The sequence below is a fragment of the Homo sapiens genome, chromosome 4, assembly GCF_000001405.40.
Source record: "Homo sapiens chromosome 4, GRCh38.p14 Primary Assembly".
In the NCBI taxonomy this organism is placed as follows: Eukaryota; Metazoa; Chordata; class Mammalia; order Primates; family Hominidae; genus Homo; species Homo sapiens.
In genome coordinates this window covers 25,370,778-25,388,589 of record NC_000004.12, presented here as the reverse complement: position 1 = coordinate 25,388,589, position 17,812 = coordinate 25,370,778, and the positions used below count along the sequence as shown (strand labels likewise).

Below are 17,812 nucleotides of genomic sequence, written 5' to 3'. Positions count from 1 at the left end.
ACCAGTGATACATACTTTTTTGGCAGTGTAGGTAGTTTAGGTAAGAGAAGATTTGATTCATCCTCAGCATTATAAAATGATGTGAGAACACTAAAAAGGAAAAAATAAAAGCATTATAAAAACACCAAAGATTTTACTTCTCTTGCCATTAAAAATGCTAATTTTTAAAAAAGATACCCAGTTTTACAACATTATCAAGTAAATAGATGACACAAATACTATACAGTTGTAGTCAGTTTAACAGTCCCAAATAGGAAATTGAAAAGTAGGAATTTCTGTTATTTTAGGGGAAAAAAAACATCAGCCTGCACACGTTACATTTAGAGAAATGATATTAATAAACACTTTTCTTAGCATATGAAATGCATTCATATGTACTCAGATACTGAGAATTTATGATTTCTTAACTCTCATTTAAGAACTCACACCAAACATATGACTACTAAGAGTAGCACTATCTTTTATTTATGAGACAGGGTCTCACCCAGGCCGGAGTGCAGTGGTGTGATCATGGTTCACTGCAGCCTTCACCTTCTGAGCTAAAGCCATCATCCTGCCCCAGCCTCCTGAGTAGCTGGGACTACAGGTGCAAGCCACCACACCCAGCTAATATATACATTTTTTTTTTTAGAGATGGGGGTCTCACTATGTTGCCCAGACTGGTCTGAAACTCCTTCCTCCTGCCTCAGCCTCCCAAAGTGCTAGGATTATAGGCATGAACCACTATGCATGGCCTACTATGTGATTTAGTTATTGGTTCTATGACTTATACACACTTGTGGATTTGATAATCCAACAGGTATTTGAGACTACACCATGCCTTTTGAAATAGTCTTATTTACCCCCTTTTCCTTCTCAATTCTAACTCCAAATAAGGTTGGAAATAAATGAGTAAGCAAGTAAAAAAGTGGTGATTTAGCAAGTATTTTTTCCTACTTTAATAAAAAGGAGCTGTCTTGAGAGACCCTGGAATCGCCACATAACACTTCTAAACTGTTAGTAGAAAGTATGTTGGGAATACACACAGCAGATAACCGGGCTGGAATAGGAATTACATGATATGCTCTGACCCTCTAACATTCTACATATTCACATAACGATTTGTAATCCTTCATTATCTGATGATGGATTTATCACTCTGGTTTATCTACAGTGAATTTCAAACCCCAGGTCAAACCCTTGTCATCCAATTCTTTCAGGCTTCCCTTAGGAAAGCTGGCAATTAATATTCAGGATTTACAAATTCATTTGATATTACCTTAGTATAACTTAATTAGAAAGGAAAAGTTAATGGTAAGAAAATTAGCATATTTCCCCAAAAAAGAAAAACAATTTTTGTTTTCAGTATTAGCCAAACCCACTGATTCCTCCGGCCTTCTTCACTACAACCCTGGTGTATTACTTGACTACACACACTAATGCAGAATTATTTTTATGAAACAAGGAAATTATCAGGACCATGGACAAAGAAAAAACCTGTCCAGCATTAGACAGAATGCTCAACTTAGCATTTTTCATACTCTAAGAATACTTACTGAGACACAAAAAAAAGTTCCAGATGATATAAATCATGAAATGGAAATTAATATATGTATTAATTAATAAAACTTTAAAATTACTGATTGGCAAATTGAGGTTGTTTTCCATTTCACCATTTATCTCGTCTAGAGCTTTGTTTTTTGTGCCTCAGTAACTATTTTTGGAGTATGAAATGACTAGAAAGAGGAGAAAACTCTTAGCTATTCAGGTTTACTGCTTCAACAAGAAAATACAGGCATATCTCCTTCAATTGTGCTTCCCTTCATCCTGCTTCCCAGATACTGCATTTTTCACAAATCAAGTTTGTGGCAACCCTGTGTCAAGCAAGTCTATCAGCCAAGCAAGTCTATTGGAGTCCTTTTTCCAGCAGCCATGTGCTCACGTTGTACTTCTGTGTCACATTTTGAAATATTTGCAATACTGCAATTTTTTTCATTATTATATTATTTGTTATGGTGATTTGAGGTCAGTAATCTTTGATGTTACTATTATAATTGTTTAGGGGTGCCACAAACCATGGCCATATAAAATGGTGAGCTTCGGCTGGGTATGGTGGCTCACGTCTATAATCCCAGAGCTTTGGGAGGCCGAGGAGGGCAAATCACTTGAGAGGAGTTCGAGACCAGCCTGGCCAACATGGTGAAATCCCGTCTCCACTAAAAATATAAAAATTAGCTGGGCATGGTGGCACACACCTGTAATTCCAGTTTCTCGGGAGGCTGAGGCAGGAGAATCACTTGAACCCTGCAGGCAGAGGCTACAGTGAGCTGAAATTGTACCACTGCACTCTGGCCTGGGTGACAGAATGATAACTGTGTCTCAAAAAATAAATAAATAAGGCCAGGCGCTGAGGCTTATGCCTGTAATCCCAGCACTTTGGGAGGCCGAAGCGGGCGGGTTACCTGAGGTCGGAAGTTCAAGACCAGTCTGACCAACACGGAGAAACCCCATCTCTACTAAAAATACAAAATTAGCTGGGCGTGGTGGCGCATGTCTGTAATCCCAGCTACTCTCGAGGCTAAGGCAGGAGAATCAACCTGGGAGGTGAGCCAAGATGGCGCCACTGCACTCCAGCCTGGGCAATAAGAGCGAAACTCCGTCTCAAAAATAAATAATAAATAAATAAAAATAAATTTTAAAAAATGGAGAAATGTGAGTGTTCTAACTGCTCTATTTACTGGCCATTCCCTCTCTCTTCCTTTGCACAGGCCTCCCTATTCCTTGAGACACAACAATATTGAAACCAGACCAGTTAATATCCCTACAATGACCTCTAAGTGTTCAACTGTCTCACTTTAAATCAAAAGCTAGAAATGATTAGGCTTAGAGAGGAAGGCACGTTGAAAACCAAGATTAGGCCAAAAGCTAGGCTTCTTTTGCCAGTCCTCCAAGTTGTGAATTCAAAGGAAAAGTTCTTAAAGGAAATTAAAAGTGCTACTCCAGTAAATACAAAAAAAATAAAAATGTGAAACAGCCTTACTGCTGATATGGAGAAAGTTTTAGTGATCTGGACAGATCAAACCAGCCACAACATTCTGTTAAGCCAAAGCCTAATCTAGAGTAAGGCCCCAACTCTCTTCAATTCTATGAAAGTGCTGAGAGAAAGCCGCAACAAGTTATACAGAACTTCCAGCTAAATCACTGAAGAAAGTGGTTACACTCAACAACAGATTTTCAATGGAGAAGAACAGCCTTTTATTGGAAGATGCCATCGAGGATTTTCTATTTATTTATTAAAACATATATACATATAGAGATATATATATGTATACGTATGTATGTATTTTAAAGCCAGTGAAATATAGCACCACCTAGGACTTTCATAGCTAGAGAGGAGTCAATGCCTGGCTTCAAAGCTTCAAAGGATAAGCTGATTCTCTTTTTAGGGGTTAACATAGCTGGTAACTTTAAGTTGAATCCAAAACTCATTTACTGTTCTGAAAATCCTACAGCCCTTAACAATTATGCTAAATCTATCCCATCTGTGTTCTATAAATGGAACAACAAAGCCTAAATGACAGCATATCTGTTTACAGCACGGTTCACTAAATGTTTTAATCCACTGTTGAGGCCCACTGCTCTGAAAAAAGGTTCCTTTCAAAATATTATTGCTCATTCATGACTGGTCACCCAAGAGCTCTGATAGAGATATATAAGATTAATGTTGTTTTCATGCCTGTTAACACACAAATCCATTCTGCATCGTATGGGTCAAATGGTAATTTCAACTGTCAAGTCTTTTTTTTTTTTTGAGACAGGTCACTCTGTCACCCAGGTTGGAGTGCAGTGGTCCAGTTACGGCTCACTGCGGCCTCAACCTCCTTAGGGTCAGGTGATCCTCCCACCTCAGCCTCCTGAGCAGCTGGGACTATAGCTACCACGCCTGGCTAATTTTTAAGATAGGGTTTCACCATGTTGCCCAGGCTCGTCTTGAACTCCTGAGCTCCTGCCTACCTTGGCCTCCCAAAGTGCTGGGATTACAGGCATGAGCTGCTGTGCCTGGCCATCTTTCAAGTCTTGTTATTTCAGAAAAACATTTCATAAAGCTAGAGCTGACATAGCGATCGCTCTGATGGATCTGGGCAAAGCAAACTGAAAACCTTCTAGAAAGGATTCACCATTCTGGATGTCATTAAGAACATTCACAATTCATGGGAAGAAGTCAAAATATCAACATTAACAGGAGTTTGGAAGAAGTTGATTCCAACCCTCATGGATGACTTTGAGGGGTTCAACACTTCACTGGAGGAAGTAACTGCAGATCTGGTGGAAATAGCAAGAGAACTAGAATTAGAAGTAGAGCCTGAAGATGGGACTGAACTGCTGCAATCTCATGACGAAACTTGAACGGATAAGGAGTTGCTTCTTAGGGATGAGCAAAGAAAGTGCTTTGTTGAGATGGAATTTAGTCCTGGTAAACATGCTATGAGCAATGTTGACATGACAAAGGATTTAGAATATTCCATAAACTTAGTTGATAAAGCAGCAGTAGAGTTGGAGAGAGCTGACTCTAATTTTGAAAGAAGTTCTACCTTGGGTAAAATGCTATCAAATAGCATCTCATGCTACAAAGAAATCTTTCTTGAAAGAAAGAGTCAACTGATGTGACAAATTCCACTGTTGTTGATGTTAAGAAATTGCCACAGCCACCTTAACCTTCGGCTGCCACCACCCTGATCAGTCAGCAGCTGTCAGCACCAAGGCAAAATCCTCCACCTTCAGTGAGATCACAACTCACTAAAAGCTCAGATGATCGTTAGCATTTTTTAGCAATAAAGTATATTTTAATTAAGTTACATGCTTAATTTTTTTAGACATGATGTCATTGCACATTTAAATGTACTATAGCATAATATAAACATAACTTTTACATGCACTGAGAAACAAAGAAATTCAAATGACTTGCTTTTATTGCAATGTTCACTTTATTGCAGTGGTCTGGAACCAAGCCCACAATATCTCTGAGGTATGCCTATAGATGTTTATCGGAAGGAAAAAAAAAATCTAAGAAAGCATTAAAAAATTTCATCTTGATAAACTGAAACCAAAATTTAAATACAACGCACATACACCCAATACTCAGATACTCCTAAGTTTCCATTTCAAAAAATAAAAATCTCATGAATACCCTATGACTACATAAGTTTTTCTAATTACCTGCTTTCTACTGTCACTTCCATCCAATGCATACAGGAAACTGGAGCCTCCACAGAAAAAGAGTGTAAGCTCTCAGGTTTTTCTACATCACACAAAACAATTTTCTTGGTATCAGCAAGAGCAAAGGCCAAAACTAAAACAAGAAAAAACAATCAGAATAAATTAGTGTAACAATTGAGAAAAATAAATGGGTATTTCCCTTATTGCCCAGTTTTACTCTTTTAAGTGCATCTTCATCATGGCAATTTTTGACCTAAACATCCTTCAATATTTTAAAAACTAAAAAAAGAAATATTTGCATATATTGTAGTTACATTAACTAAGCTTATTTTCAAGTGCTCAAACTTTATAGGAGATCTACTACTTTCTCACGTAGCACACTTAACGTCTTACACATCAAAGTTTCCAGACTTGAAACCCTGTTGTCAAGCAGAAAATACAAAAGAGGCTTCAACAAATAAACAATTATATGTTATCACATGTCTAAAAGGTAAGCAATGATTCCATCTGCTTTGTTCTTGGAATGCTTTTTATTCCTCTTTTATGTTTCTAAACGATGGTGGGAAACGAGGCCATTAAACACACATAAATCTTCCTTTGAGTGTGGCTGAATTTTCTAGTATGGTTTCTCCACACAAGTCATTATTTCTTCCTAACGTGCAATTTAAGAATTTAAGAATTTCCAAAAAGAGGGCAGTGAGTTTCACTGCATATCACCATCACATGCAACTTTGCCAGATGTGAACCAATCCCAGCCTTCTTACTTAAAAACAATTTAAAACTTGAAATGATCATTATCTAACAAAAAACACATTTTACTGTCCAAAAACATGAGACTTTTAAAAAATGAATAATACAACTACTTATAAACATTTTAACGCACACTTTTGTGATTTATCTTTGAGATTCCATGTTTTTGAATGATTTAGTGCAAGATCTCATAACTTTACTTATAAAAGTCCTCTAATCTTACACATATTCTACATATACTCCAAGCAAAATGACTACAGAATGAGCATAGAATGTTTAAGACATTTCCAGAAATTCCATTTTGGGTGTTAATCTAAGGAGCTACTGGCAAAGTTCTTCCCAGTGTTCAGAATGTTTACACAGCATTGCTTATCAAAGCCAAAAACTGAAAACCATCTAAATATCCACCAAAGGGCAACAGGTTTAGTAAATTACAATATATAAATATAGTGGGTTAGTACGCAATTAACATTAATGTGGTCAATCTATCCACACTGACATGGGAAAAAGTGAGGGGGGGGAAAAAAAAGAAAAAGCTATACAACAAAATGGTATGCACCAAATAACTGTCTTTTGATAAAATTATATATAGATCTCTACATGTATGTATTTTATCGGGAAATATTGGAAAAGATGTTCACCAAAACAGAAACAACTGTCATCTCTAAGTTATCTGCTTTCAGGGATTTTTTTTTTGAGACGGAGTCTCACTCTTGTAGCCCACACTGGAGTGCAGTGGTGCGATATTGGCTCACTGCAAACTCCACCTCCCGGGTTCAAGCAATTCTCTGCCTCAGCCTCCTGAGAAGCTGGGATTACAGGTGCCCACCACCACGCCTGGCTAATTTTTGTATTTTTAGTAGAGATGGGGTTTCACCATATTGGCCAGGCTGGTCTTGAACTCCTGACCTCATGATTCACCTACCTCAGCCTCCCAAAGTGCTGGGATTACAGGCGTGAGCCACCATGCCCCACCTAGGGAATTTTTAAGTACTTTTTTATATTTATGTAGGGACAAAATTAAGCAATGAAGGCCATGTGCAGTGGTTCACGCCTGTAATCCCCACACTGTAGTAGGCCAAGGTAGGCGAATCACTTGAGGCCAGGCGTTCGAGACCAGCCTGGCCAACACAGTGAAACCTTTTCTCTACCAAAAAACACAAAAATTAGCCAGGGATGAAGGTGCACGCCTGTAGTCTTAGTTACTCAGGAGGCTGAGGGAGAAGAATTGCTTGAACCCGGGAGGTGAAGGTTTCAGTGAGCCCAAGGTTGCAGTGAGCCGAGATTGCACCACTGCACTGCACTCCAGCCTGGGCGACAAGAGTGAGACACTGTCTGGGGGGGAAAAGAAAAAGCAATGAGGAGCATATATGTTACAAAAACAATTCACTTTTTTTCTTAAAGCACCAATAAAATTTTTAAATACTTTATATTTATCTACAGAAAAATTAAGCAAAGAACAACACATATTTTACAAAAACAGTTCACTTTTTTCTTAAAGTACCAATGATACAAATGAACTTTAAGCTGTAGGGTTTACAGCATTTTACTGTGCTGATTGTATGTGTACAACAGTTCCAATACAGACTGTCATTGTAAAAACATTACATGGAAAAGGAGAGTTCAGTCACCAGAGCCATAACAGGCTTTAACGTAAGAGGGTACCAGAAGAAAGATCACACACAGAAATGGAAGGTATGGGGTCAAAGGTGATAGTCCCCCAGGTGAGGCAAACACACATGCACCAAGGGAATATGAGCCACACATTTCATGCTAAAATATATTGTGAAAGAAAAAGGCCATGATGGCTTTGAACTAACTCACTGGCGAGTGGCAAGTGGTGCTTGGGCCAAATAATACAGGACAAGATGACAGTGGAAAGAACAAAACCAAAACATTTTGTATATTCCATCAGATTTCACTTCGGAGTTATCTTTGCCAAGAAGCCAGATTTTATTTAAGAGATATCTTTGCCAAGAAACAAGATAGCAGAATTAATCTGAGTTCTATAAAAATATTTTAAGGCATTTTTTTTAAAAAGTTCCCAAAGTGATATTTATAATTCTTATGTATACTAAGAACAATAAATCCTTTCTGAAAATGGGCTTTACAGAATACTCTTTGTGAAAATAAAAACATATTTTTTTTGTAATATTATCATTACGTTTGCCATCTGGTCTCCATGCCAGACACGTCACCTCCTTTCCTGTATTTTCATTTGGTGGAAAACTCCAAACTCGATGAAAACTTGCCAGTCGATGAAGTAAAACCTAAGACAAAGCAGATATAATGGCAGGAAATTAAAAATTCATTTCCAAAAATAAAATAAACCTAGATCCCTACTAAAAATTTTTTTAAATGACCATCTCTCATATATACTTAGCTATCAGAAGAATAGAAAAAGACAACAGTGTCTGAATGAACACAAGGTATTTTAAAATAAATGGGTGAAACAAGGTCTAATTTAACCCTGTACCTAATCTTTTATGTCAACGGGAGACTTACCTTTTATAAAGAAGGCGGCTGTCCAAGGTGACAACCAAAAAAGAAATAAAAGAACACAAACACCACTAAAAAGGTAGCTAGCTGTAATACAGTCAAATTATACTAAGCTTGGAATTAGTCCACGTGGCACCTAGTTTCAGCTGTGTCACTCACTAGCCATGGATCTTAGACATATCACTTAACCATTCTAAATCTCCATTTCCACATCAGTAAATTCCCACCTTGGAAGGTCAAAATGTTGCCCAAGAGCTCTATGACTGCCCCGTTGCAGCTTCTATACAACCATTGACAGTAAGGAAGAAAAGGCCTCACCACTGCACATGCTCCTCCAAGACCCCTCCCCATTTCCACACTCAGCTAAGCCACCATGACCCTGCCTTATCTCACAGCTCACAGCACCCTTCACTCCTGGTTACAACATCCCCTGGATTTGACCCTCTCTTTTCTGAAACCACTCCTGCCATACCTTACTTCTGAAACCCTTCCTCTGTGCTTTCTGCAGCTCATGGTCAGGTGTCATCATGAAATTAATATCTTCGTACTTTTCTCTGAAATGTGCCTCTCACCTGAGGACAATGCTTCCCTGCAGCCTTGCTAGGTGGTGGCCATTTTGTATCCCACAGCCCCTGTACTGCTGCTTTTGGGCTAGGAGATGAAGTAGGTGTCTTCCTTGATGCTTGATGCCATTTCTTCTCTTCTTGTAAATCTCCTAACTTTGAATCACATGCAATCAGACCATACCACTCGCTATCCGTCTTAATTGCAGTCCTCTACAGACCCCTAGGCCATTCCCCTCATTCCTTAAAGATCTGGATACCTGGCTTGCTCATGCCTTCTAACAACACACTCATCATCATTTTTGGTGATTTCAAGAGCTATGATGTCCTGGCTTTTCAGCTCTCAATTACCTCTCCTCCAGTGATCACATCTTCTACTGCACTCAGCCACTCCCAGGGTCACACCTCCGGCCTGGTCATTACCAACAACTGCAGGGCCACCAAAATCTCCATTTTAAACTTCCCACTTTCCATCCACCACCCCTCTTTCCAGGTCATCTCTACAACACTCAACTCCAATTCTTTGACCTCACCAGGATACAGTCTATTGATTCTACCACCTGTTCACTGTCCCTCTCCCCACACATGCCTTCACTTCCCTCCTTCATCAGGTTAGAACCCAAAGTTCAGAAACACAATCACTCCTCTTGCACGTAACTTCAACTCTCTTTCATCTTTGCCTTGCTTTGTCATACTTGCAAAACGACAATCCTGGTTAAACCCAACCATGCCTGCACCCACACAGCCAAACAGAACGGAGAGAGACACATACAACCTTATTCAACCAGTGTCTCTCAAATAATAACACCGATCTCATGTGGGTCTTAACACTGACTGGCAATCCTATTAGGTTTCCCAAGTCCACCTGCTTTGTTAGCTTTTTCATACCTCTTCTTTCTCCTCAAACTTCCAATATATTCTTCTCCATCTTCACCCATAAACAATGCCCTTGCTTCTTCCTTCACTGAGAAAATGGATGTAACAGTGCCCTCTATCACGCCTACCCATCTGATTGCACGGATGTGCCTCCCGTCTACCTTCCCTCCTACTTCTGTGACGGTACCACCTGCTGCTCTCTAGAGCCACAACAGAGTTTCAAAGCATCCCGGCAGCGGAGGGAGACTAGCTAGATTTCATGGAGGGCCCTGAAAAATTAGACATCAATACCCTGGCGACTGGATCATGGTAGATAACATGGTGCAGACTACAGTCTGCAGGGTGCTAAGATTTCCTTATCACCTAGTTTCCAAATTTGGCTCTATACAACTCTCACATGGCCAGATAACTCTCAAGCCAGAGGCGGAAAGATGCACAGGTGAAGGTTTCCTTACAAAATGGCTGGCAGGTAATAACTCTCAGCAGAAAGTTGGGTACAACTGGTTTATACTCGATGAAGTTTTATGTGAACAAGAAATGCTGATAACACCCATGCACGTTCTGTCTGGAATCCAATGCATGCCTTCCTTGTCCAATTTAGAGGTATTTTTAGTGGAGGGTGGTTATCCAACCCGTACTATAAAACGTGGACAAGAGAAGCCAGGTTCTTAAATATATCCTGTGTGGCAGCTACATGCAGGCACATTTGCAGCTGAAGTTTGACAATAACTCTTCCTACTGCTATTAAAACTGTAAGCAAACTTAGGGCAGGGTCCCTGCATCTACCATTATGTCTAGCTCATGAGCAGCACATAGTGGGCTTTTTTAAAAAGTTCATTTAACTAATAAACCAATGAGTGAAGAAGACTTGGGGAAGCAGGATTGCGTGACGGTGTTAAGCTGTGTGAAAACTGTTACTTTAGCCATAAAAGTACCGAAAATAGCACAGACATCACCTTTCGCATATATACTTAAAGTTTACTGCCGTCCTGGGAGGCAGGGAAGGGGTAGCAGGTGGCCAGCCATGTCTGCAGAAGGGGAAACTGAGGCTCCGGCCGCCTGTGGCCCGAATGAACAGGCTCGGGCTCGGTGTTCTTGGGCCCCCCGGGAGCAGACCCAGCACAGGCGGGCTCCCGCCGGCTCACTCACCTCGCCAGCTGTGTTGGCCAAAGCAATGAGATCCCGCTTGGGCGACCAGACCAGGAAAATAATCTCCTGCGGGAGCTGCTTCTCTCCCACCACCCGGAAGGATGGGAAACAGGTCGGAAAACGCAACATGGGGACGGCCCTGCAACGACACCCCAGTCAGAGGCCGGCAGGAGCCCCCGGCTCTCCACGAGGAGCCCCGACCGCGCCTGTACCTGCAAGAGTCCCCACCGGCAGACTAACACGGCCCCAGTGGCCTCTCCCCTCCCTCTGCCGGCCGCGCGCCACAGCCTCCAGGCCGCCCCGCCCCGCCGCTGTCGCGCGCTCCAGGCACTTCCGGCGTCGGGACTGCCTCGCGAGAGGAGGAGGAGGGGCGGGGCGCGCACCGGTCTTGGGGGTGCTGAGAGCCAGAAGGGGCGGACAGGGACGGGGCGCGGTGGGCGGGGCAGGGAGGAGCGAGGGGCGGATCGAGGTGGGGGTAGGATGGGGCCCGTGGGCGGGGCAGGGAGCAGCGATGGGGCAGAGCTAGGAAGGGTGGGGCACGCGGGCGGGGCAGGGAGCCCCGAGGGGCGCGGAGAGGGAGGGAGCCGCGCGCCGGACCCAGGTGCTGGTGGGATCGCTGGGCGCCGGGACCTGAAAGGGCCCGAGAAGGGCGGGGCAGGCCCCTGCGGCCACACGCAGGTCTTTTGGGAACCCGTGTGTGCACGTGTGTGGGCATGCTTGCATACCTTTCCCGTTTTCCCGGAAATTCTCTGCTGTGGGCAAAGGGACGGTAGGGGTTTATGGGGTAGGCTTCAGCGACAACGGGGAGATGAAAAAGAATATGAACTTTAGGTCCTGATCAGCTGGCGCCTCCTCTAACAGTTACTAAGCGAGTAGTTCTCATGTCAGTCCTGGTGGGTCAGTATAGAATTTTAAAAGTCCCCCTGTCCAAGCAGCACCCCAAACCAATTAGAAGAAAATTAACCCTGGATGGGCCCAGTATTTACTAAAACTCTTTGGGTGATTCCAATTTGGAGAGAAGAGGCGCGTGCCCTAAAACCTCCCTAACAGGCAAATAATACTGTGACATCTCATCCCATTTAACCCTCACAACTTATTGGTAGTTGCAGCACCGTCATAACGAATAAAGAGTGTGGGCTCAGGGCCGGGCGCGGTGGCTCACGCCTGTAATCCCAGCACTTTGGGAGGCCGTGGCGGACGGATCACAAGGACAGGAGATAGAGCCCATCCTGGCTAACATGGTGAAACCCCGTCTCTACTAAAAAATACAAAAAAGTAGCCAGGCATGGTGGCGGGCACCTGTAGTCCCATCTACTGGGGAGGCTGAGGCAGGAGAATGGCGTGAACCCGGGAGGCGGAGCTTGCAGTGAGGCGGAGCTTGCAGTGAGGCGGGGCTTGCAGTGAGGCGGAGCTTGCAGTGAGCCGAGATTGTGCCACTGCACTCCAGCCTGGGCAACAGAGCCAGACTCCGTCTCTAAAATATAAAAAAAGAGTGTGGGCTCACACACGATTTCTTCTATAGGTACTTGGGCATTTACTATGTGGAGGAACTGAGGCTACAGCAATGCATGGGACGGGAACTCTGCCCAGAGGCTCACAGGCCAGCCTGGCAGACTTGTAAATCAGAACTCATCTGATGTTGCTTTATGTAGGACACATTTAAATGAGTCAACCTGTTGACAGTTCCCACAGCTATGACCTCCCTAAGAGAATGTGACAGTACCATCCTAGGGTTCTTAAACTTAAAACCTATGGTAGAAAGCCATCTACTTTTTACTACCTTTCACTTGTTCAAAGAAGAAACAGACGGCAGGTCCTTTAACTTTCAACAGGCCCCATCTTCTTGACCTCTGTCTGGATCTAGCCCCTGGGAAGTAGATGACGGAGGGAGACTAATTCATTCAGCATCAAGTAACTATTTTGTGCCAAGTACTGTTCTTAATCCTTGACTTTATACCTACCCTGCTTCCTGTCACGGGCTTTGCAGCCCTTGCCTTTGCCACAAACAACTTACCAAGTGCCCCCAACTCTTCCAGAATCAACATTTCTAAGGTAAAAATGCATTTGCCTTTGTTTTTCACAAAATGCATTTTCAGGTGTTAGTGTTTTGGGGCAGTTATAATGGATCACCTGGTGGGGGTCTAGTATCTATGCACATTAACCTTCTTACGGAAATTGAATGTCCATTTTCCTGGAACTTACCTGAATACAAACACCCATACAGCACGTGAAAATCACTGTTCCCAGAGGCATAAACACCGTACTGCAAAGGACAGAGTATAACCACCTGCACATTAAGTCTTCACAGAATATAAATTTTCTAAGCCTTACAGCAAAGGAAACAGCCTAAGTGTGGAGTTCCAGATGTGGGCAGGAAACAGCAGAGTTTTATGCTGCTATAGACCAGGGGTGTCCAATCTTTTGTCTTCCCACATTAGAATCGTCTTGGGCTACACATTAAATACATTAACAGTAATGACAGCTGATGAGCTAAAAAAAAAAAATCACAAAAAAAATCTCACAATGTTTTAAGAAAGTTTATGAATTTGTGTTGGGCTGCATTCAAAGCCCTCCTGGGCCACAGGCTGCGAGTTAGACAAGCTTGCTATAGACCCTCATGTGTGTTGGTAGGCAGTAAGGGGCAGGAATTGTTCTTGGAAATGATCCAAAGTAGCCGTAAGACAAGAAATATTAACACATCGTGTTTCCAGCCTTTTCTTTTTCCCACTGCCCCATAAAGATTTTAGCTCTACCTACTCCGTTTTTTGCCTCCCCCATCCTTAGGAAAATACTGCAGAATAAAGAGAAAAAGGGAAGAAGGCTCAGGGATCGGCTATCAGTGCTTTTTAAGGAGGCAAGGGCAGGAGAAATAAATATTTACTTAAGCATGTTCATTATAAGGTTATTTACGAAAGTGAAAAAATGCAAACAACCTAGATGTCCCATCATAGATTTTTAAAAAATATATCTATCCTGAAGAATATTATGCAGACATAAATCGATGTTCACAGTATACTTATGAAAAAGCATGGGTCATAAAACAGTATGTACTTAAAATTCCATTTTCTTGAGGGAAATTTTTGCATGTGTCTGTAAGCCTATTTATGCAAGAACCTATCTTTGGAACAGTAGACAGGGAAGTTATAATAGTGATTATCTCTGGGTGGTAGGGTTAGAGATGCTTTTATTTTTCCTTGATTTACCTGGCTCATGTATTAACTGTAAAGTTAACAGGCAGCAACCTTTGTTTTCCTCTGTTTTTTTTTTGTTTGTTTGAGACAGTCTCACTCTTGTAGCCCAGGCTGGAGTGCAATGGCGTGATCTCGGCTCACTGCAACCTCTGCCTCCCGGGTTCAAGTGATTATCCTGCCCCGAGTAACTAACTGGGATTACAGGCACCCGCCACCATCCCCGGCTTTGTATTTTTAGTAGAAACGGGGTTTCACCATGTTGGCCACGCTGGTCTCGAACTCCTGACCTCAGGTGATCCACACCCTTCACACCCCCCCCCAACCCTTGGCCTCCCAAAGTGCTGGGATTACAGGTGTGAGCCACCGCACCTGGCCTGTCTTCTTTAAGCATGTGGAATATTTGGGCTGACTTCCTCTAGTGTTCTCCCACTCCTCCTCTCCACACTTGCAGATGAAGAAACTGACCCATCTATTCAGGCCTACCATCTTAGAGATTACCGGCTGTTTCACCTCTTCTAGTATCCAGTGGTATGAAGCAGTTAAACCAGGGATCTTGTAACTAACTGTTCCACCAAAGACAACTGGGATAAAACTCAGCCTCTCAGGGCTCTGAGATCTTGTTGCTCAATGTTGGTGCTATTATAGCCTCATCTTGCTGAGTTAACATTTATACTAAATTGCCTGAAATCAAATAGCAGAGATCTTATCTTTACTTTATTGCAATGACCTTCTTAGTTGACCCTTAATTTCAGCCCAGGTCCTCATGGTCCAACTAAAATCACATCAAATAAGTGAAACTGGATTTTCCTTTAGATTTTGTGGAAGCTGTCCTACCTAGAGAGCTCGAAGTGTATCTGCTTCTTCCATAGTATAGTTAAGGTGTGAGGCATAAAGCGGTATATTAAATGGCATTTCCGTTCACTCAGTTGGTATTTATGAGCACCTACTACCTAGATGGTGAAGAAATGTGTTAGCCTGGCTGCCTGCTTCCCATTAACTGAGGTCACAGGTGATGCGGCTGGTCATCTCTATCGCCGTAGAAAAGGCATGTGCCTAGTAAGCAAACACAATGATGTCCACAGGCACTGCCATCAACGAGCTTCTAATCTGTACAGGGCTAAACAAGTATATAAAGTCATTCTTATACAAGGCATGATTTAAGTACCATAAAAGAAGTATAAAAACAACACACAAACTGACATTTTTATTTCTCTGGCAACAGATGTACTACTCCAGTGGAGAGACCAACAGGGACATTGTGAAGGCAGTGGCAGCTGACCAGGACCCTTTGTAGGTTGTGATTTTATATTTCAAGATTAGTCAAACTTCTCCCAGATGCCTAGTATTTTGCAGATTACTTTGAAGGGGTCTTGCAGATAAAGCTGAGAGAAGAGAGAAAGAGATCCCCCCCCGTATTGTTCTATATTGTTTTATGCTCAGTACCTGTTTTAAGAAACAAGGAAGCAAAACCAAAGGCAGGCAGCCGGGTGCCAGGCACCAGACCCAAAACCAGGCCTGGGCCTGCCTGACCTTAGCCTGATAGTTAAAATTCAACCCATGACCTAGCAACCGATGTTATCCGTAGATTCCAGACATTGTATGGAAGGACATTGTGAAACTTCTCGTTCTGTTGTTTCACTCTGATTACCGGTGCATGCAGCCCCTGTCACATACCCCCTAGATTGCTCAATCGATCACGGCCCTGTCATGTAAAATCTTTAGTGTTGTGAGCCCTTAAAAGGGACAGAAATTGTGCACTCAACAAACTCGGATTTTAAGACACTAGACTGTCGATGCTTCCAACTGATTAAAAGCTACTTCCTTCACTATCTTGGTGTCTGTGGGGTTTTGTCCACGGCTCATCCTGCTACAAGGCTACTAATCTTCACGCAGCACATCCCCACATTTAAAACTTCAGTTAGGGTGGTCCTCATATTGACTCTAAGTGCCTCCTAATACAAATCTGTTTCCCTTTTCAGTCCCTAGAAGAAACATAATAGAGTGGGTCCAGTCCGTATTTCAGGCATGCCTACCACTTCAAAGCCTCTAGAAAATTCCATGCTTACATCAAATTTTTATTGAGCACCAAAAAGGCACAAGATACACAAGAGCAGATGAAATGGGTGCTGACATTAAGAGACCTAAATCTTTGAGGGAAATAAAATCAGTAAAAATAATCACAGAATAATATGTGAAAGGCCTTAAATGTGGTATCAAACACCAAGGGGCCAAAGAAGGTTTCAGTATCAGGGACTCGTGGAAGATTCCCAAAAGAGAACGGAGTGGCCACATGGAGGGACATATTCCAAGCAGAAAGAACAGTATCGGATGAAAAGAATGGGGCATATGGAGTGATAAACTAGTCTAGGTACTGGACTAATTAGGAAAAAACATGAAATCCAGCCTACAAAAAGACTTTGTTTCTCATTAAATTTCATAATATAAGAAGAATGAAATTTAGCTGTATTTATTAAAAATGTCCTTTTAAAAAGCTTAGAAAATGTTATCTGTCAAATTTTAGGGATTTTCTTCTATTGCTATTTTGAGAAGGTATCTTAATGTTAAGATGTTCAGATTTCTATTAAGAACAAATGACCTCATCCCGCTTCACATTCTACCTCCCAGAGACACATTTTTACAGGCTACCAATTAGTTTATTCTCTGAAAAAGGAATAGAGATTAAGTCCTTAAAATTAGTATTAATTGAATATAAGTGTAAAATCACCAAATTTCCTATTTTTAACTTTCTAAGACAGTAATAAAGTTTTAAAGTACATTATTCCTGGCTGGGTGTGGTGGCTCACGTCTGTAATCCCAGCACTTTGGGAAGCTGAGGCGGGCAGATCACCTGAGATGAGGAGTTTGAGACTCGCCTGGCCAACATGGCGAAACCCAGTCTCTACAAAAATATAAAAATTAGCCGGGTGTGGTGGCACACACCCATAATCCCAGCTACCAGGGAGGCTGAGGCACAAGAATCACTTGAACCCAGGAGGCAGAGGTTGCGGTGAGCAGAGATCCCACCACTGCATTCCAGCCTGTCCAACAAAGCAAGACTCTGTCTCAAAATAAATAAGTACATTATTCCTGATTATAACTATTTCCTCAATTCTAAGATTTTTTTTTTTTTTGCATTTCAGTATTTCTGAAATCAGATGATCTAAAAATTAATTAATGAAGTATTATTTCTCTTCTCCCCCTGAAAAGCTATGATAAAATCAATGATGTATTTTATAATTGATGGTATCTTAACATTAAGGCAATATAGTGATGAGAATAACTGTTGGCCTTCAGAACTCAATTTTTCAGTAGTCATAGTCCCTCAGGTGTCTTAGTTTCAGAGGAGATTTCAATAGATTTTATCATGGAATGGTGAACACCATAAAGTCAGGCAATGTCCCTATCCTTGCTTGAATCAGAGAGGGGAACTCTCACAACGGTTTTACAAACTTCATATCTCACCCAGTCACCTCCAAATGTGCCCCTCCTATCATAGCCCTCCATGTAACAAAAGGGAGAAGAGCTTTCTGATGCTTATGAAGTCCAGGGGTATAACTCATCTTTTGACATCAACTGATGTACACCACT

At 42.0% G+C, this 17,812-nt stretch overlaps 1 protein-coding gene across 4 annotated transcripts in view, besides 3 other annotated features; it reads right to left on the bottom strand.

The window, feature by feature from the left end:
* Positions 1-11,327, bottom strand: part of ANAPC4 (anaphase promoting complex subunit 4) — a 41,236-nt gene extending 29,909 nt beyond the window's left edge. For 3 of the 4 annotated variants that reach the window (NM_001286756.2, NM_013367.3, XM_047450152.1), the window contains exons 1-5: positions 11,246-11,327; positions 11,034-11,172; positions 8,111-8,216; positions 5,197-5,329; positions 16-90 (exon numbers count right to left, since the gene is read on the bottom strand). In NM_001286756.2, the coding sequence (NP_001273685.1) occupies positions 16-90; positions 5,197-5,329; positions 8,111-8,216; positions 11,034-11,162 (443 nt within the window). In that variant the 5' untranslated portion in view covers positions 11,163-11,172; positions 11,246-11,327. Of the gene's footprint in view, positions 1-15; positions 91-5,196; positions 5,330-8,110; positions 8,217-11,033; positions 11,173-11,245 lie in introns of those variants that run through there. The other variant, XM_011513838.2, reaches the window with a different exon arrangement.
* Positions 10,925-10,994: an enhancer, noted in NCBI's record as "active region_21379". NCBI's record gives its function as "activates an Ori minimal core promoter by ATAC-STARR-seq in GM12878 lymphoblastoid cells {active_cell/tissue: GM12878}" and the evidence as "EXISTENCE:reporter gene assay evidence [ECO:0000049][PMID:35858748]".
* Positions 11,025-11,084: an enhancer, noted in NCBI's record as "active region_21378". NCBI's record gives its function as "activates an Ori minimal core promoter by ATAC-STARR-seq in GM12878 lymphoblastoid cells {active_cell/tissue: GM12878}" and the evidence as "EXISTENCE:reporter gene assay evidence [ECO:0000049][PMID:35858748]".
* Positions 11,205-11,624: a silencer, noted in NCBI's record as "silent region_15324". NCBI's record gives its function as "represses an Ori minimal core promoter by ATAC-STARR-seq in GM12878 lymphoblastoid cells {active_cell/tissue: GM12878}" and the evidence as "EXISTENCE:reporter gene assay evidence [ECO:0000049][PMID:35858748]".